We start from the raw sequence: 21650 nt of genomic DNA on the forward strand, positions 1-21650 counted from the left end.
GCCCAGCCAGGGTCAGTGTCCCAATGGGAACAATAAGGATCTAGGAGGAAGTGGAACCGGAAGCTGGCTGCTTGCCCAACTGTGGGGTCACTTGGGCTGCGATTTCACCTCCATTTTCTCCTTTGGCTCCTCCATGCCGCAGATGAATTATTTTCACTGAAAATGAAATGCCTATGGCTACAGCCCCACTGAAAGTGACAATCCACGGCAGGGCCCAGGCACTAGGGGCAGGGGAGACTAGGACAATGAAAGACAAATCAAAGTAACTTCCAAATCATGCCATTTATTTTTCCTTAATGGATTTTACAGCTCATCTGAGTCTCTGCTGTGTTCTCTGAGGAGCTGTAGAATTTGTGTCGATGCTCTGTGTCCTCCGTCCTTCCCCAAATGAGCACATATGCAGGGCAGGCAAGAGCATGCTGGATTTGTCTTAGTTGTTAATTCACCTTCTGGCTTCACTGTGACACACATTTATCTCTACATGACATTCTCAAGAAAAATGATTAGGACAGAATCACAGCAAGGAGTGTGGAAGAGGGAGTTTTTTTAAAAAGTCAGTTAAAGAGAAGCAATGAACCACGAGGGTCCTTTAGGTAAAGGACCCCCACTCCTCATCTCTTCCTCTTCATTCTTGATCTTTCAAAAAGAAGCACAGGAAGAGGACTAGGCTAGCAAGGGTGCTGGTAGGCTGCATGGTGCCTCTGTACCCATTAATACCTGTTAACAAAAGGCACCCCTTCCTGCAGGAGGTGTAGCCCTTTCCATGGGGCAAGGCTTGGAGGGGATGAAATATCCTCCAAGAGTTCAGAATCCCCTATGGGCCCTGATGCTGATGGAGATCAGAGCCTCTCACAAGGAGGTCCCAAGCTGGTGACCTGGGAAGGGAGGCACTGATGCTCTGCCTGGCTGCCAGGGGTGTCCTTTCACCACCCCACACACAATCTACTCCTTGCATCTTGGACTCTGTTTTACTTCACAGGGCAGGGATGCAAACACGAAGGAAAGAGGTGTGGCACAGGCACAGTTTTAATGTGCAAACCCTTCCTAATGCAGGATCCCCATTGAACGGCCTGGGACCTGGCTGCCTTTGATGATGTCATATCTCATCTCATGAACCAAGATGGCAGGAATTCTCTGCAGCCAACCTTGACAGGAAATCATCCTGGAAATCCGCTGCTTCCTTAATTCATGCAAGAAACAGGGAGAAGGGGTATGGTCCTCTCATGAATGTTGTGCCATTCAGTTGAGACGTGTCACGGGTTCACCTGACAGCTCAGGGACTAAGGCTGGGTGGACGTCATTTATTAAGTATATTACAGGGCTGCAATTCACCAGCTACCAAGTTGGACTCTTTGCTCTGGAAATTTAATGTGTGGCAGCTGCGTGCAGCCGGTGATGTCCAGCATTTTAAAAAGGTCAATTAAGAAACGGTTGATGGTGGTGCAGCTAATGACAGCCCAGGGGGGTGAGCAGGGCGCAGTAAACAGAAGGGCTGAGACATATATTACTGGAATTGAAGTGTCCCAGTGAAGCGTGGTGGGGAGGAAATCTATTGTCACAAGCCATAAAGCACATCTGAGTTTTGCAGCGGAGAGCAGTACAGCTGTTTCCCTCCCCAGGCAGCGCTGGGAGCAGCCAGTGAATGGAGGGCTCGCCTACAAAGGGGACACCTGCATCAGCTCCATCAATTTGCAGACAAAAATCGCTACCCTCCTCGCTGCCTGTTCCTTTGCACTTCTCGTTTTCCCACTTGGAACACAAGGCAGATGCTGGAGTGATACTCAGAATGTGGGTCATGTTCTAGAATTCCATATTTTAAGCATTCCGGAAGCAGGGCTCCGCCCCTCCTCGCTGCGTGTGGGCGGGCGGACAGCCGGGAGCCTGAGAGTCAACCCCAGCCAGCGCTCTCCTCAGAAGACATCCGCTCCTGCCTCGGTGCGCGCACAATGCAGGCTGCGGATCAGACCCTTTACACTGCGACGGATAAAAGAGGGACACGAAACCCTTAGAAAAAGTCTATTTCGGACTGTGACAGAATTGGCTCATGGTTGGGGGAAGGCACTGTGTGGGGCTCCTTTTTAAAGAATCAGACAAAGGGGTCTTAGAATAAGTGCAGGGCTGCTAGGACAGGCTTTTTTTTTTTTTTTTTTTTTTGCCACATCTACCTGTCAAGCTAGAAATTCAATAGAGCAATGGGAATGCTAATTGACATGCAAAACAGGTCTAGGGTTCCTAGAAATGTCTAATGATCCTCCAATTCATTACGAATCCCGAATTAAGACATGCACTAAATGAGATGGGAGTGAGAACAGCAACCTTTTTGCTTTTCCTTTTTTTCCTTTTAAAACCTGCTTTGGGAAACTTCACAGGTTTTATCATTAAAAAAAGAGTATTGCAATCAGTGGGTTTTGTCTTTCACACACTGGATGTTTATTATTAGAAAATAGCTTCTATCAGCTGTCAGTACCAAACAAGTTGAAAGGAGCGAGCTTCTCACCATATTTTTTTTTCTCCTTAATGATATTTAAATAAACAGCTCACTGTGTGAGCTCACGCCCTTTTTCCCTTTAAAAACTGAATAATTAAATGAAGTTTAGTACAAAACATTCTTCAAATATGACTTGTTCTGCATCTGTTATGCTGTCTCCTTGAGTAATGGACGCGAAAGAGATGAAAAAGACCACTCAGGCTACCAAAGTACCCCAAAGAATCCATACGAGAAACTGAGAAACAAACTAACTCAAATAAGACCCAACCAAACCAAGAAACCAGTTTTTACGTTGACTTTTTGATTTTGATTATCATCTAAGTTTAATATATATATATATGTGTGTGTGTTTGAAATAGTAATAAAAAAGGAAGAATTGAATTGCATCCGTAGCAGGACAACCTTCCTCATACGTTAAAGAGGTGTTCAGAAAATTCCATACAGTATCTGCTAAATAAACATGTTTGGCAGCTTAGCAAATATCATATGATTGCAGCATCCATCATTTGAAGTAAAACAGCATTTGCTTTCTTCTGGCGGAGGTTGTTGCTTGGAGTGATGTGCTAATATGCTCTGGATGTTCTTAGACCCACAGGCTTAAGGAAGGGCTTGGGGGTCGCTCAGTGCATGACCCCAGTGCAGACACTTCCAAACCCCAAACAATGAATCAAACAACCAACCAACCATACAAACATCAAACAACTGTCTCCTTTGAGTTCCTCTTGACCGAATGGAGGCCCAGCAAGGACGGCTGGTTAGAAGGTACATTGACAGACTTTGGAATGAGGAGAATCACCCTCTGATTGGTCCGACGCCACTCGTTGTACAATCGACAGTGGTACCTAAATGACACCTGGGGATGGGAGAGGAAAAGTAAGAGAAAAGAATTCAGGTCAGCAGAAGTGGATAATCAATACAAGAAACAAATATGTCATTTGAAAGAGCTTCAAAGAGCTGGAAGCACTATGGCAGGGCAAGAACCCTGGGAAAATGGCTCTGGCACGCAGTGAGTGTTGAGAGATTGGGCACCAGCCAAAGAGCACCCTATGTGTGGACACATGGGCAGGGCTTGCATGGTGGCTTCCTTTGTTCCTCCTCATACCGGGTAAATTCAGGATATAAATGGGAAAATGAGGTTATTTCTGAGTTTGGATTTATTTTCGGACTAGTGGTGGATACAATGCCAGCCCTCGCCCAGCTGTGTGACCTCAGCAATGCGCCTATCAGGTGCCTAGGTTCTTCTCTGTTAGATGAGTGGGATGCTAGGGCTTCATGAACCTTCCTGCAAGTTAGACCCTGCACAACTCAAAGGATCCCATTCATACTATGATATGAAGGACACCCTTTGTACTGTCCTGTGGACAACCTGCCCAACAGCCTGGTGGCCCCAGTGGGTGATTCCTAATTGCATCCAGCTCCAGCATTCTATAGCTTCCAATAAGGAAATCACAGTGTGGCCACTAACTCCCCTGATAAATCTTCTCGAGCCTCAGGCTAGGTGGGGCACGACTCCCTTGGGTGCCCACTGTGCCTCAAGCTTACCCACATGGCACTGAGTGTCCTGAACAGCACTGTGCATGTTTTTCTCTCCCCCTGCACTAGAAGCATCTTGAGAGCAGGCGTTGTGTTGTGTTCATCTTTGCATGCCCAGCACCTGTTACAATGTCTTGCACTTAGGAAATTGCTCAAGAGAGTTTGCTGAGTAAATGAATGAGTGAATAAGCATCCTATATTTTCTGATTGCAACACTGCTTCAAACTTAAGCCTCTCTCTCTTTTTTTTTTTTTTGGATGGAGTCTTGCTCTGTCACCCAGCTCAAGTGCGGTGACATGATCTCAGCTCACTGTGACCTCTGCCTCACGGGTTCAAGCGATTCTTGTGCCTCAGCCTCCTGAGAAGCCGGGATTACAGGCATACGCCACCATGCCTGGCAAATTTTTGTGTTTTTAGTGGAGACAGGGTTTCACCATGTTGGCCAGGCAGGCTGGTCTCGAACTCCTGATCTCAAGTGTTCTGCCTGCCTCAGCCTCCCAAAGGGCTGGGATTACAGGCGTGAGCCACTGTGTCCTGCCAAACCTCTCATATAATACATGATGGTAGAAGCAGTGACATAATGGTGCCTGAGAGATCCTTGTCTTTTTTTTTTTTTTTTTTTTTTGAGACAGAGTTTTGCTCTTGTTGCCCAGGCGGAAGTGCAATGGCGCGATCTCGGCTCACCGCAACCTCTGTCTCCCAGGTTCAAGCGATTCACCTGCCTCAGCCTCCCGAGTAGCCACCATGCCTGGCTGATTTTGTATTTTTAGTAGAGACAGGGTTTCTCCATGTTGGTCAGGCTGGTCTCGAACTCCCGACCTTAGGTGATCCACCCACCTCTGCCTCCCAAAGTGCTGGGATTACAGGCGTGAACCATGGTGCCCGGCCAAGGTGCTTGCTTTTTATGTACATATATTGGAATGAGATGCTTAAACCTGTAGTCTGTTTTGGAGAAGGCTGGCATAAAACATTGATGGACCGTCCAAGAAATTCAGAGTCTGATGTGTAGGTAAGTGCTGGAAAGGAAGGAGACCATGAGCTTGGAGTGACAAATCAGGTCTGGGCTGTTTAATTATCTGGGAGTAGGTGTGTTGTGTTGATCCCACTAAAGGTCTATGGTGGTCAGAAAGTAGGCTGGCCTGATGACTTGGTCTCGAGTTTCTGGAAGTAGATGAAAGGCAGGCCCTTGATCAGAATGGGCTTTTTAGTCTTCATGGCAGGATCATGAAATTCAAGGCCACTTATTCAAATTTCTGAGGCTAGAAAGCAGATGCCACGGGCCGAGTGCCAGAGAGGGTTGAGTATGAAAATATACGCTTTTAAACTCACACAGAAGTGCTTTTCTCCAAAAGTCCCTGAACATGCTAAAGTGGATCAGTTTGGTTTTTTTTTCAAGTGTGATTCTCTTGTATCTATTCTGTCCTGCTGCTGCTTGGTGCCACTCACGAATGTAGGAGAGGCAGGCTGGGAAGCCAGCTGTTCAGGGCCAACAGCGGGAAAGAGGTGGAATGCAGACAATTATTATACTAATAAGGAACTTTGGCAATATAAGAAGTCTGGAATCTGGGAACATTACGGGAAAGCTGGATTTCAAATCAAGAGTCCCCTTTTCCATGATGCTGAGAGCTGTGCACACTGGCATTAGTAATTGGAGAAGTAGTTATGAGTGCAGGCCGCAGGCTCCGGAGCCAGGCACACGGGCCTGCAATCTGCATCCTCTACTTAGTGGTTACGTGACTTGGGGAGGTTATTTGCTGTCAACAAGCTTCAGTTTCCTTGTTTGTAAGATGTGAATAATGATATTTGATGTAATGCATATAAAACACCTAGCACAGGGCACAGAGCATACATTTTAGTGTTCTTGGGCTGGTATTTTGTGTGTCTTAAATATAAGAAAGAATTTTGTGACACCCTTTAGATACAGGGTAACAGAAAAAGAAAAAAAAAAAAAAAGAGAGACAGAGACAGATTGGGCTATTTCCTTTAAGGCTCTGCTCTCGGCGTGGTCCTGGACCAGCAGCAGGCTGCATCACCTGGGAGCTTGTTAGAATATCAGAATTTTGGGCCCCACCCAGACCTAAGGAATGAGAGAGTGCATTTTAACAAGACCCCCAGGTGATCCGCATGTGCATTCAAGCCTGAGACGCACTGCTTCAAGGAACACAGGGAGTCAGCGACTTAGCAGGTCTCCTGGTTCCATGGCCAGGAAATTAAAAAATTCAGCCCACTTGTGTAGACAAACAGATGAGATCTTATTATACATTAATCTATTTTAATTGTGGTTAATCACTACAGTCTGCAGGCAAATTCAATTAATAAGAAGAAAGCAACATAAGAAGATGCTTCTTTGTCAGGGAAAATAAAGGCAAGTTGAGCACAACGCCAAGGAGACCACAGGTTTGCATTGCCCTGGGTTAATGCTACTTCTCTAGATGCTCCAAGACACTGCATCCCTGCAATGCAATATAATTGGAAAGAAAGGAGGTCTAATTTAGAAGAAGAATAAGGCAGCGAGGAAAAAGAAAACATAAAAAGATGCTCCAACAATAATGTTAGGAATTTCACTTAGATATTTCTTAAATTTTTGAGTTTAGGAGAGAGGAGGAAGAGAGTATAGGGCCACTATTATAAAAATACTGCTCCTTATGGGATGCGCTTCCTGAAGTTTCTAGTTTATTCATCTAACTAACCTCCTATCATGGGCAAGTCTGCTGTACAAAGAGTTGTGATCGCATGAATATTATGAGAAGGGTTAGAAAATGTTAGCATCCACTCTTCCCATTAGGGAGGTGACTGCGGCTGGGGCAAAGGTGTGCTATAAAGTCACAGCAGGCGGCCTGGTGCAGTGGCTCATGCCTGTAATCCCAGCACTTTGGGAGGCCGAGGCAGGCAGATCACCTGAGGTTGGGAGTTTGAGACTGCCTGACCAACATGGAGAAACCCCGTCTCTACTAAAAATACAAAATTAGCTGGGCGTGGTGGCACATGCCTGTAATCCCAGCTACTTGGGAGGCTGAAGCAGGAGAATCGCTTGAACCTGGGAGGCGGAGGTTGCGGTGATCTCGGCTCACACCACTGCACTGCAGCCTGGGCAACAAGAGCGAAACTCCCTCTCAAAAAAAAAAAAAAAAAAGTCACAGAAGGCTTTGGGATATCTGATTACATATTTTGATTTTGCCCTTTCTCTCTGGAAGTGGTGTGACTTAGGGATATCGATGGGACTAGGCCTTGGCAAACGGCCTCCTCAGCAATGTGCCCAGCTCACCTATCTATCTCTGACTGCACTGGGGAAAAGGAGTATAGGAGTGAATTGGTCATGGGGAAATACCGCTGAATACCCTCAGGATGCTTGTAGGCCGTGTGGGGGATGTGTCTAAAGCAGCCCCACAGTGAGCCTTGTTGGGACAGCGTTCCATTGGCAGTTCCCCCTTTATAAGAAGAATTTAAACAATCAAACCTTGGGACTGGGAGTCACACTTTGAGGAACCGGGTCGCTCATTCATTCCCTTCTGTGCTGGACACTGGTTGCATCAGTGATGCAGTGAGTGGAAAGACTTCCTGTACATGGTGCCTCAATTCTCCTCCAAACTCCAAACTGGGGCTGATACCAAGTCCATTACCGACAATTTCTTCATGTTTAATGTGGACTCAGTTCTCAGCCAGCTCTCTTTGTGTCTGTCTACGGGTTTCAAATCACTTGTGACATGGACAGTGATGTTTCTAGGACACCTCTCCCTGAGCTCTTAGGGTGGAGCTGACCAAGGCCCTGGCCTCCTGGGGCCCAGGTGTGCTTCTGGAACACAGCAGGTTCCAGAAGGTGGGACTCCATGAGGGTGTGTCAAGGCTGGACCTGCATGGCCACGTGTGCCTGCGAGAAACTCCAAGGCACTCTGAGGCGTGCAGCGTGAGCGCTTGTCCTTCTTCACAGTACCAGGGAGGCCCTTCCAGGAACGGCTCCTCTGAGGAGCCAGGCTTGGACTGACACCGTGTTTGTTTATCTAAGACATTTTCACAGCATATTCTCCTTAAGCTTGACAGCTTGTTTACAATGGGTTTCTGCCGCAGGGCAGTTTCCAAGTGCTGTCAGCTTCTGAATTACGGCTCTTGCCAGGGCCGCTCAGCACAGCATTTATCTGGGACGGAGTTATTCTATATTCAGTAACCTATTGCTGAGCTGACTCCACAGCACGTTTTTCACACCAGTCAAAGGGGGAGAGATGCCTTCTTTCCCTCCTGCTACTTTGCATTCTATAAAGGGCAGGGGGAGGGTGGAAGCTGGGGGAGCAGGGAAGCCGCAGGAAGGAGCCTGGGGCCAACACTCTGCTAGGTGCTTGCATGTATGTTCTCAGACGTTATCTCACTTACTCTTTGCAATAACCGATTGACCTAGCGGTTATCAATTATTTCCTGTATTTTTTTGTACAAGAGGAAGGATGAACAGAGAGGTTAAGTATCCTATTTGAATTTACACTGTTATTAGGGTGATAAATCTTGGGTTTAAACACAGGGCCCTTGGATTCTAAACGCATGCATAGCACTGCCCGTGAGAAACATTTCTGGAATGAAGTATGTTACCATTTTCCTGAAAGAGCCTAGTCTAGGTACCTTTTCTACCCAAACCTTCCTTTCACCTGAGATGGGAGATGAAACGAGGTCACATCCATTTTTTCTTGAGATAACCTTTCTTTTCTTCCTTTCTTCCTTCTTTTCCAGCCACCTATCACCCTGTTTCTTTCTTGTTAGATAAGTGTATGCTTTACAAAGCAGGATTTCAGAAAGGCCTTACATTGGTTTTGAAAGCCCAGCATTTAAGCTCACTTCATCCATCCTTCATCATAGGCACTCTTCTAAAAAAAATTATAGACTAGAAAACCTCTAAACATGGCAAGAACTTATATTATTCTCCAAAGTACTTTCCCATAAACACTTTGACTTAAATCTCATAACACCAGGGGAATTTGGCAGGATGGGCATTACCACTATTTCCACTTGACAGATGAGGACACTGAGCCTCACAGAAGCCAAATGACTTTCCCAGGGTGGTGCTGTTGACCAGGAGTTAGATAGTGCTGCTTAGACTCCTTCATTTCTTATTTCTAACCCTCCTCCCATCACAATGGAAGCTACTGGAACAGCTTCGTTGCCTGATTCAAAATGAACCAGGATGAACTTTGGAAGCGTAGACTTTTTTTTTTTTGAGATGGAGTCTCACTCTGTCACCAAGGCTGGAGTACAGTGGCACGATCTTGGCTCAGTGCAACTCTGCCTTCTAGGTTCAAGCAATTCTCCTGCCTTGGCCTCCCAAATAGCTAGTATTACAGACATGCACCACGATGCCCAGCTAATTTTTGTATTTTTAGTAGAGACAGGGTTTCGCCATGTTGGCCAGGCTGGTCTCGAACTTCTGACCTCAAGTGATCCGCCCGCCTCAGCCTCCCAAAGTGCTGGGATTACAGGCATGAGCCACCGCGCCCAGCTGGAAGCGTAGACTTCTAAAGGAAGCAATAATAGTTTTGCTTGGGGCTTCACTAGCCTGGGAACAGAATGTCTAAATTAACCATAAGACTCAGATAAGTTCTTAGCATTAGAACACTCCCTCTTTACTGAAACTGAAATGTATCTCCTTACTGTTTGAACACTCTCACTGGAGGGGAGGCACAGAGCTGGAAGAGCCATATGATGAAGAAGAGGGAAATGAACAGGGTTGTGGGAGTGGCAGCTGGAGGAACAGGGTCTGGGAGACACAGAAAGGGAGGAAGTATGTGCTAGAAGCAGCTTCCACATGCTGACACTGTGCTATGGGATATGGGAATGGTACACTTTAGACAGGAAATACATATTGAATAACAGTGGAACGTGCTCAGATTAGAAACGAGCAGGCACAGGAGAGTAATGCCAGGAAGCAGGGGGCCCAGCTTCTGAAAATATTCTAGAAGACAGTGATGTCCTTCCCTGCAGCTCCCAGAGGAAAGCATAAGGAGAGAGATCAAATGTTGCATTTTGTGGGTGCTGTCAACTGGTACTCAAGCGATCAACTTACTGCATGAAGTTAAAAGTTAAAAGAATGAAAAAAGTGATATGTAAAAATTCTTCCTCACACACAGCGAGAACACTTATTGGGAAATGGCCTTTCTTTGGTGGCAGCTTCTCAGCTAGATAAATTAGTGCTTTTATGGGCAGCAGAGTCAATATCCCAACACACAGAATAATCACCAGGCAAAGTGCGGCTCCACGTCCAACAAAGACTTTAGGCTGTGTCAGGACGTAAGAAGGAAATAACCAGCAGGGAGGATTCACGATCTGTGCAGGCAGTGACAGCAACAGCAGCCAAATGCATCATTCATAATATACTACAATCCCGGCAAAAATGAGAAACATAAACAAGGGAAAGAAAATGCCAAGACTCATAACAGATGGAGTCCTAGACTACTAGAGGAGAGAAACGTCCATGGTGTGTCTGTGTCTTTGACTGATGGACACCCAGAAGCCAAACTTTTTCTTTATGTGATCCGCCTTAGCAGCACAGACACACACACAGACAAACACACACACACACACATAGTCATAAACCAAATCTCATGCTCCCGCCAGCAATCGAAGGTCTGTTTTCTACCGGGCAGGTGAGATGTGTTACAGACAAGAGGAAAGGCTTGTGCCAGCTGTGAGGCTGCCAGCTCCAAATGGCCTGAACCCCAGCCACGGCCCATACTTACTAGTGTCCAAAAGAGGTAAATAGTGAAGAGTGCGACAGTGAGTGCAATCAGTCCGACGGCTTCCAGCCGACTACTAAAGTGCAGGTGGTCCACGGCGCCCCGCAGGCACAGCCAGCCCGAGATGGTGGCCAGGGGAGTTATAAACAAGAAGCACACCATGTCGCCAAACAGAGTCCGCTTCTCATGCTGGGGGCCAGGGTTTCTCAGCCACTGCCAGGTAAAGGGAGACAGAGAAGAGCAAGGGAGAGGGTTAAATGCCAGTGTGGAGTGGAGACACGCTGTTCTGAAGTTATCTTTGCCTTCAGAACCTTGGGAAAAGGCATTTCTGACTTGTTATGAGATAACAAGGAAGTGTTCAGGGCTCATTCCCATGCTCCACCCCCTGAATAATAATGATATGATACAAATAACAATAATAATTTATAGTGTCCTTGCTGTAGATGACCTACTTTTTGTGAAAATAGTCGTTACTATTCAGAATCACAATGATCCCATGTGGAAGGAAGAGAGAATGTTACGCTTGGAAGGTGACAGCTGAGGTAGGAGAAGTTCAGTCATGTGTCCAAAGCCTTCCAGTGTCTTCACCCTGGGAATATGTGCTGGAAACGGTTGAGTTGCTCAAGCCCCGCACATTCCCAAGACAGGCCTGTTTTTAGGACTGGCTCTTGACCAGCTTCTGAGAGATGAGCTCTGAGTCCTAGTAACATTTTACCTGATAAGAGTATTTTGCATGCCAGAGGCCTTGGGCCCACAATACTAGTATGATGAGACACTTTATGCCAACAATGTGATTTATGGTGAACACCTATTTTTGCCCTGGGAGCCTGGAGTTTGAGTAGCTGAGGTCAGTCATGCAGATATTGCATGTCTGTGTGACTGATCCCAGTCAAATCCTGAATACTAAAGCTCAGGTGAGCTTCCCAGATTGGCAAATACTTCGCCCATGTTGTCACAAATCATTGCTGGAAGAATTAAGCATATTTGTTTGACTCCACTAGAAAAGGACACATGGAAGCCTGTGTCTTGTTTCTCCTGGACTTCACCCCATGCACCTTCACCCTTTTCTGCTTTTAATCTGTATCCCTTTGCTGTAATAAACCATAACCATAAGTATAACAGTTTTTTCTGAGTCCCGTGAGTACTTTTAGTGAATAATTGAGCCTGAGGATGGTCTTGGGGATACCAAACACGGAATAATACTCACCTGACCCCATGAACTCATTAATGCCCACTCTTGGCTTTTGGATCCTGAACCTCCTCACTTAGGACCACCTCTGACATCTTGATTATGCTGCCATCTTGACTGAACTAATCCCCAAAAGGATGGGGAAAACCTCATGCTTGTTGAAAGACTAAATAGAATTTCTACAGTTAGGAAAATAGGATGGCTGTCCTCCCATTTGGGTACCTGCTTAATGCTTGCTATAATGCTTTCCAAAATCCATTCGACAATAGATTTAATTCAGTGCTTACATACTGGTGTCAATTCACATGAGTAATGAGGCCTGATAGCTCTTCTTCAGATTAGCATTGAAACACTCTACAGATAATTTGACATTCCCATCTCACTGTTCCATGTAGTAAACAGAGGCCAAGGAGTCCAGAGAAGGAGTGGGGTCAAACACAGACGATGGGGTTGGGGTGAGGAGAGACACTGGTACTCTTTGCCTTCCATCTTGTTCCTACCAACAAACAGGGACCTAGCATTGACTGTCTGCTGATGCGTGCCCAGCAGTGCCACACAGCTGGCTTGCCAAACAGGAGCACTGGCCACTTGCAGCCCAAGTGGCCAGGGCAGCGAATCCTACAAAACCACTGGGAGGAAGAGAAGGGCCATGATGGGTGAGACAAGAGTGGGTGGGGCTGACAGGAGAGGGAGGGGAAGGCCATGCTCAAGCATGGAACGACAAAATAGAAAAGCGGCAAAGAGGGAAAGAAGTTGAGGAAAGAGCAGTGTAAGGCCTGGCAAAACCCCAATGAGTGAGTAAAAGAAGCAGGAGGTAAAAGGCACCAAAGAAAGTTTTCTGGGAGGTGCCCTTCCTCAAATGTTTGCATGAATCCCCAACACTCCACCTTTCAGGGACAAGCCACCTTAAACACGGGCTGAAATGCTGAATACAGTCAGTTTCACCTCGAAAGTGGACACAAATAAATATTAAAACATAGATAATGGGGAGCTGACTTGTCTGCGAATTTAAATACTGCATTATATTTAATATAAATACCAAAATAAGTGCAAATGATATTAATCCTGCCATGTGTTGTCATGCCACCTCAGACATCTCAGCAGCTTCAAAGAAATTCAAAGAGCTCTTATTAATTAACATGTTCTTGCCTGAGTACTGGGAATATCACTATCAAGTGGAGAGTAGAAATAGGGCATTATTGTATCTTAATTTTATAGAGGCTCAGTAAAGTTAAATGATGGTGCCAGGTGATTCAGAAGCTGAACTGAGAAGAGGATCGAGATCTCTACTCTTATTTAGATGTTAGTGAATGTTCAAAAATTAAAATCGCAAGACATTTAGACATCCAGATTATTAAACAATGGTGACCAAATTATAGCAAACCAACCCAATTCTCCTCATGGTTCAGGTTTTCCCTGGAAGCAGATAGACATCTGGTGTACTCTTCTCTGTACTTCCATTTTGGAACAGTAGGCCCTGAACACATATGCTACCGATGTCCACAGAAACACTGACCTCATTAGCTAAGACTTCCCTTCCTTTCTTTTGCTTGGGAATTCTGGATGCATTTTATTAAAACTAACTTAGTACTTTACTTATTTATGTGGCCCTTGACATTACCCTATGAAATGACTTAGATATGGAAGGAGGGGAGGAGGTAATTACGAATCAGTGTTTATCTCTGCCAGATGCAAAATAAATGTGCAAAGACAAACTAGAGATTATGATTGCTTGTTTCCAGTTTCCTGTTTTCTAACTGTTCTTTGATCTTCCATATTTATGTGCCCATGATCACCCAATAAGATGAATTCTGCATCTTGTTAACTCTAGTTTTGGGGGGTTCGGCTTACTCTTTGTGTTGTTTGCTGCTGGTTGTACTTAGGTATGGAGTACTTTACATGGTACTATTATGTTAAATTGTGTATCTTCTGCAGAGCTCCAAATGTTACTTATCAATTATACAAACGCAGGTTTGTGAGCAAGATCAGTAGCAATCATCCATCCTCATTGAGGAAAAGAAAAAAGTACCCTTGGCCATGGTAAGAGCTACTAAGTATCCAGATATATCCATATATCGACACAGAATATTAATACAAGCAAAGTTTATAACAGAGAAAATTTGATTACAGCTTATATTCCTAGCAATATGGAATTGTCTAAATAAATTATGGAATTTACTTAACATAGAATACCATACATTAATAGCAATTTCAAATGCTAATGTACATTTTATATTTACTGGCATGACATACTGCTGAGCAGAAAAAAATTCTAGTGGACAGAATGTATAGTATGATCCTATATATGTAAGACATATTTACACAAAGACAGGGGGCCACCTAGCAAAATAATAGCTATTCTTGGTGGTGGCATTGTGAGTGGTTTAAAACTTTTTTTGTACATTATTTTCTTTATAAAATGAACATGGATTCCTTGTATAAATATATGTATATATATCACTTGTGTACAAAACAGATAGAAAGGGAGAGAGACAGACACACAGAGTGAGAGAGAGGGACAGACAAGGCTGTCAGGGGAGGCAGATATCTAGCTAGCACACAGCAAACTAAAACAGCAAAACAGCTATTACTGAGAGATGGCTGGGGCAGGCTCAGTGCTACAGCTTGGAGTTTATTATGCAATATCTCACTAAGTCCTCACAACAGTCCTATGTAGTAGGTGATAACAGTATCCCCATTCCATAGATATAAACACCAGGTAGCAGAAAGTTTCATAACTCACCTAAGGAGAGATAGCAAGTGGGTATCAGAGGTGAGATTTAAACCAGCCTCACATGTTCTCTTCCTTGTTTTCCTGCTAACATTTTCTTTTTGTACCAAATGGCATTTGTGTGTGTATGCTTGCGTGTGCAAGGTTTTTTAACTTTTCAGCTAGGTGGGACACATTTAAGTCCTGCCGTTTTATTGGGTACATCTGGTAACTGAATGTTTAGTTGGCTGGCCAGGATTTGATCACGCTAGTTTCAGAAAATTTTCTTAGGCTCTTGTTCTGGTCTGTGTCAATTCTTTTGCCAAACCACGATGAGGTCTAATTTCTGGGTGTTTAATCTCAGCTACATTATCATGCATTGTGACCTAATTCATAATAGACAAGGGGTTGACCTCCTCGATTACTGTTCTATTACATTTTTGGCTCTTATGTCTTCTACCTTTCTTATCAGTTATGGGGTATATACATTGACTATTATACCTGTTCTGTAGTAGTATCCTCATCTCCTAAGCATTAATAAAGAACAGGAAGAGGCAGAAGGCAGGCTTGTTTGTGTGTCTGTCTTCCCATTCAAACTTACCTTTACATCACTGGTGTCTAGCACGTGGCCTGCCTCATATCAGGCACCTCATGCTAAATGAATGAGAATAGCTTATGTCTCTTCAGCCCCTACTATATGCCAAGCACTATCTTATACGCTACATCTAATAATTCATTTACTCCTCAATAATCTTAGAATCATTATTATCACTGCCATTTTATAGATAGGGAAAATGAGACACAGAGAATTTAAATAACTTACACAAGATTGGTTGTGGCTTTAGTTCATGAAGTCTAGCTCCAAAGACTGTGCCCCTAACCATTCTACTATATCATAATTCTTAGTAAAGCATGGGGTCAGGAAGTAGCTGGATGGAAGGGGAGGAAAATGGTTACATCTTAATTGTACTTATCAGTACAAGAAGGAATATTTACTTATTGAAGTTCCTCTGGTGTGAGATACCAATTAATTTATCCTGCCCACTTGTGGACAGCTTTTGCAGCTCAAATGCCATTCTTGAAGGGTCTTAAGTTTGACCTTAGTCTTCAGCGTATACTTGGTGGTTAGCTATATTTTAAAAGCCAAGGTCAATGATTGAGACTAGTAAATTTTGTGGCATTTTTCTCCTGGTGGATCCACTCATATGGCTGCCAGGGATTCCGTGGGCAACCAAGGGCACCCTTCTGGCATCTTGTTCTCTGGTTCCATCAAAACATGCAGTACAGAGATCATGCTGTTGAAAGCCCCAGCAGTGAGCTGCCTATTTTTCTGTAGAAATCTCATTCTAATCACTTATTTCTGAACCATGAGGTTGATCAATTCTTGGAAATAAGTACAATAAATAAACAAACTAGAAACCCCACCGTAATCAGCACTGAAGGGCCTGAGACAGAAGAGGGGATTAAAGCAGCACTCTACTACCTTGCCACAGCATCATTCACTGGCTGTGAATGTACATCTAAGGTAAGCCAGGTACCAGTGGCTACTTTCAAGGTGGGTTAAGTGTGGATTTGGATTTAATTACAGTGTCAATATGTTAAATCCCCTACTGGTTGGTGGGGAAGAGGGGGTGCCAGAGGTGCTGTGTTACAGAACTTTAGACTCTGCCTCCCAGGCTCTGAGTTAATCAGCTTAAATCCCCAAGGTAGACAGGACACTGTGCAGGTCAGTTTGTACTAAAACCAGATTACACTCTGGTGGCTAATAGCTCTGATCGATAACAACCTTCCCCATGAATCTCCTTAATGAGAAACCATCACAAGAATGAAAGAAACTGATAGAAAACCATAATAAATTTATGGAGCTAGAAGGAAAAAAAGAGAAGGCATAGTCTCACAGTGTTTACTCACTTGGGCTTATCTGCCTGAGTCTCCTGTTAGGCTGACACTTGGCAGAGTTATTAACCTTGCCTTTCTTGAGATGGGTCTTATTCTGTAAGCCCAACACATTCTACACTAAATTCTCGCTTATCTGGGGAGCTGGAATGTGAGGGGGGCAGTGTAATGATCAGAAGGTAAGTGATAGGTTTCTTGCATGATTTAAAATTGAAGATGAAAGTTGAAAATCATGCTTTTCAGTTAACTTGAAACAAAGCAGAGAACAAAAACAAACTCCTACTAGTGTTTTAAATCCCTGAACTCCACAGTCTGTCAATGAGTTTCCAGGACAGCTGAAGATGCACAGAAGGAAATTCTGACCCAGGGGACCTTAGGAGATGCATGCTTCAGATATCCATCAAACCAGACTTGTAACAAAGTATCTCAAAGGAGAACTTTACAGAGTATTTGCTCATGCTTTGGCCTCTCTCCAAACCTCTAGACGTGCACATTCAACGACCCAGTCAACATCTCTGCTTAGATGACTAACAGACAACTCAAACTTAATCTGTCCAAAACAGAACTCCTGATTAGCACGTACCTCATAACTCCTTTCCGCTGAGTGTCCTCCATATCAGTAAATGACCATCCACCCCTGTCACTTAGTCATCCTGTTCCATTCTGTGTCTTTCCTCCTGGGCTAAGGGACTTGCCCAGGACATGGTAAGTCCTATTGGCACTGCCTGCAACATACACCTGGAATCTGGCTGCTTCTCTCTGCCCCACTACTGACATCCCAGGCTAGGTCGCCATCATCTCCTACTTGGGAGGCAATAGCCTCCCTGCTTCCACTCTGGCCACCCTGCTGTCCAGTCCCAAAACAATAGTCAGGGTGAGCGTCTAGAAATATAAATCAAATTGGGTTGCTTCTTTGCTCAAAACTCTCCAGTGGTCATAATAAAGTCCAAACTGTCTACCTGGTACTATAAGCCCTGACTTCATCCCTTCCTACCAGTTCCCATGTCTCCTGCTACCTCTCGCTTCATTTTCAGCCTTTGCGCATATTCTTTTTCAGCTTCTCATTATTTAGGTCTCAGCTCAAACGGCACCTTCTCATGGAAAACACTCCCAGCACCTGTGAATGTTACTCAGCTGTATTTTCAAGAGCACACAACACTCTCTGAAACGATGCTATTTCTTTAGTTGTCTGTTTAGTTGCCCATGTATTGCTACCCACTTCAACTTTGTTTATTTTTGTTTATTTCATATACCTTGATCTAAGAACAGCACTGGAACATAGTAGATGTTTAACAAAAATGAATGAATAGGCTGGGTGTGGTGGTTTACGCCTGTAATCTCAGCACTTTGGGAGGCTGAGGCAGGTGGATCGTCTGAGGGCAGGAGTTTGAGACCAGCCTAACCAACATGGTAAAACCCCATCTCTACTAAAAATACAAAATGATCCAGGCGTGGTGGTGCATGCCTGTAATCCCAGCTACTTGGGAGGCTGAGGCAGGAGAATCGCTTGAACCCAGGAGGCGGAGGTTGCAGTGAGCTGAGATTGTGCCATTGCATTCCAGCCTGGGCAACAAGAGTGTTGATTTAAAAAAAATCTTGATTTAAAAAATATATCTTGATTAAAAAAAGAAAAAAGGAAAATGAATGAATAAACATCTGAGATGCCACTAGGTCTGACCAGAAATGATCTTACAGTATTAGTTAGACTAGTTAAACTGATTGGAAAGGAGAAACTTTGTTGGCATATAAACATCAAATTGTCAAGTTAATTGCTTTTAGCCTTCTAGACTAGAGATAGCATTTCTTACATATTGCTCTTCTTAGGTTTCCAAGATAAATATCTACACATTGTTTTGTTGTTACAAGATGAAAAACCTGTAGTTTCGATTCAAACTTTTTTTCCTAAGATGTAAGTAACCATGGAACATCTATTTTTCCATAGGTCATGAAGTCGTATGAGAAACCTAGTAAATTATTCAAGATCCCTTGTGCTGTTTTAGTCACAATTACTATGTATATATATATATATATAATTTTTTTTTTCTAGAAGAAACCTACCTTGAAATAATTGAGAAGGGTACATACCACATATCCTCTTAAAAGTTATACAACTCCAATTCAACCAAAAATATGTACTGAGTGCCTACGATCTACCAGATATTTGTACTGAATTTGGAACACCAGGTGTTGTTATTATTCCCATTTTGGATTAGGATATGAAGACTCAGTGAGGTTAAGTTCCTTGTTTAAGGTTACATGGTGAGGTGCCAGTATTTGAAACCTCCAGCCTGATGCTCTTTCAATTCTTTCTTTTCACTTACTTTCACACTACATAAAATCTTGATCCCAGTTTTTGTTCCCTCCTGCAACAGATAAAGTTGGAGAAGCAGCACCTTGCTGGGGATAAGATATGGGCTCGGAGGCAGGGGACAGGACACCACTTCCAGTTGCCCCGCATTGTGGTTCCCCCAAATGCTGTGTGACTTTATGAAGTTCTTTAACTCTGTTGTGGAGTCAAAAATGGGAGTCTACCTCAACAGAATAAGGATGCTGTGGCTTTGATGGAGTGGTGAAGCAGCCTCTCTTACTGTCAGAGCAATGCTATAGAACTCATAAGTTCTCATTTTAGTTCAAAACATCAGGCTTGACTAAAGGATTTCAGGACAACCCTTTTCTGGGCTTCAGGCTTGTGTGCCCAGCTGCTTACTTGATATGTCTCCATTTGTGCAGCAAACATGACAAGCTTTACAAGATCCACTGCAGAACACGAGATTCACCATCCACCATTCCAACTCCCCCACAAATAGATTCCTCTCTCAGGGTGGCCCATACCAGCATGTGGGAACACCAACACCTGGTGGCTCTCATAAACAACCTCAGTCTCATCCTTATTTCTCCCTTTCTTCATTCCCCTTCCCCCTATATCCAGTCTATCAGCAAATGCTCTCAATTCTTCCAGAATACATCTTGAGTATGTTTGCACTGCTCTCCCTGGTCACCACTATTCCCATCCAAACCCTCTTCATTTTTTACCTAAAAGATGGTACCATGTAATAGTCTCCTTACTTTCTCACCCTTCCACTCCTGTTATCCTAGAATCCAGTTTCTATAAAGCAGCAAATCATGACACTTGTCTAGTTTAAAATTTCCCAATGGCTCCCCATCACCCTTAGCCTAACACCTTACCATGGCCTACAAAGCCCTGCATAGTTTAGCCCAGGTGTTTGTACCCTGGAGTCCACAGATAGGATTCACAGGATCTATGATTTTGAATGGGAAAAAAAAAATCACATCTTTATTTTCATAAACTCTAATTGAAATAGAACATTCCATTGAGCGATGCAGAAAATCTAGGTGGCATCAGCAGTACCTGCGACTTTGTCACCAGTACAAACAGAAATACAGATATTTCGTATCCCATTACAATTGTTGCAGATATCTTGAAATATCATTATTTTAATGTTAGTTATTAGATCTGCTACAAAAGTGCTAAAGAATCATTTACATTTTATATTACAAGTGTGTCTTTTAAATATTTTGATACCTGTATTTTAGTGTAAATGGCTTCCTTTGCATTCCTGTGTATTTTATGCAATTAAGAACATGATTCTGAGAAGGGATCCATGCGCTTCAACACATTGCCAAAGGGTCCAGAAAAGTTTAAGCACCTGGTACCCAGCTCCTTTGAGCTCTCACGCAATGCTCTCCTGCAGTGTTTCTTCCTGCCTCAGAAATACCAGACTAGCTCCTACCTCAGAGCCTTACAGTGGCCGTTCCTCTGCCTGGAACTCCTCTACCCATGGCAGGTTCCTTCTCATCAGCTGTACCTTTGCTTGAATGACACTTCTTCAGATGGGCCTTCACAAACCAGCACACACAAACCCTCACCCCAGTTCTTCTTTGCCACAAAGCCTCCATTATTCCTTCATAGCTTTTGCCACCATTACCAGAGACAATCTTGTTTATTTATTTACTTGTTCATTCTGTTCCTTTCTCCCCAGCAGGGAAGCTCTGTTAGTACATGAGATTCTTCTGGCCTGTCCACAGCTACGTTCCTGTTTCTTAAATATCTAATTTGTGCTTGATAAATATTAGCTGAAGAAATAAATCCTTCTAAGCCAGAGAGGATCACTTTGGGTAGACATCAAATGAATATAACTGAAATGCATATATAAGACCATTTGCTTGGACTCTTCCCATTAAATACAGTAATTTTTGCCACACACATGTGCACAGCAGTTACTCTGGCACTCACAGCTGTGATCTGGCTGAAGCATAAAGTCATATTCAAGGACACCCTGGAGATTTGTGATGCTCCCTGGAGGACTTAGGCCAATAAGCCAATTAACGGGCTATAATGCTCCATAAATACTATGCTTATGCCTGGGACATTGTAATTTGGCTCTGACATTATTTAAACAAATGCTACACACACTCACACCAATGGTTTATTTTTCCAAGGATTAGATCAGTGGCACAACAGGATTAGATGGCAAATCATTTTATATATTCACTTGTAACTTCAGACATACACAAAATAAAAATAATCTCTAATTATTTTAGATCATTACAGCATAGGAGTGATCACAGCCAAATGGAGATTGCTTATCTGAAATATGAGAAGATACTTCAGAATTATGTGGCATATCTGATCAATGTAAAGCAAGAAACATGAGATAACCAAGACAGAATGGAGAGCAAGGAAACAGAAGTTTTTAGAATAAATTGATAAAATGCATAGTGCCAAAAGTAGATATTATTTATTTTGGGAACAATAAATTCATACTGTGTGGTTTTTCTTTTTTTGAGATGGAGTCTCGCTCTGTCACCCAGGCTGGAGTGCAGTGGCACAATCTTGGCTCACTGCAACCTCCACCTCCCAGGTTCAAGCTATTCTCGTGCCTCAGCCTCCTGAGTATCTGAGATTACACACATGCACCACCACGCCCGGGTAATTTTTGTACTTTTAGTAGAGATGGGGTTTTGCCATGTTGGCCAGGCTGTTCTTGAACTCCTGACTTCAAGTGATCCACCCGCCTTGGCCTCCCAAAGTGCTGGGATTACAGGTGTGAGCCACTGTGGCTGGCCCTGTATGGTCTTTTTAAACACAAATAGCAGCTCTCA

At 43.8% G+C, this 21650-nt stretch overlaps 1 protein-coding gene across 2 annotated transcripts in view, besides 1 other annotated feature; it reads right to left on the bottom strand.

Moving 5' to 3' along the window:
* MARCHF3 (membrane associated ring-CH-type finger 3) overlaps positions 264-21650 on the bottom strand; it is a 162845-nt gene continuing 141458 nt past the window's right edge. For both annotated transcript variants that reach the window (NM_178450.5, XM_011543131.4), the window contains 2 exons: positions 10735-10944; positions 264-3341 (listed from right to left, as the gene is read on the bottom strand). In NM_178450.5, the coding sequence (NP_848545.1) occupies positions 3183-3341; positions 10735-10944 (369 nt within the window). In that variant the 3' untranslated portion in view covers positions 264-3182. The remainder of the gene's footprint in view (positions 3342-10734; positions 10945-21650) is intronic.
* Positions 7913-8412: an enhancer, noted in NCBI's record as "H3K4me1 hESC enhancer chr5:126211055-126211554 (GRCh37/hg19 assembly coordinates)". NCBI's record gives its function as "activates a minimal SCP1, AML or CMV promoter by ChIP-STARR-seq in naive H9 embryonic stem cells {active_cell/tissue: H9 hESC(naive)}" and the evidence as "EXISTENCE:reporter gene assay evidence [ECO:0000049][PMID:30033119]".

This window comes from Homo sapiens, chromosome 5, assembly GCF_000001405.40.
Source record: "Homo sapiens chromosome 5, GRCh38.p14 Primary Assembly".
NCBI lineage: Eukaryota > Metazoa > Chordata > Mammalia > Primates > Hominidae > Homo > Homo sapiens.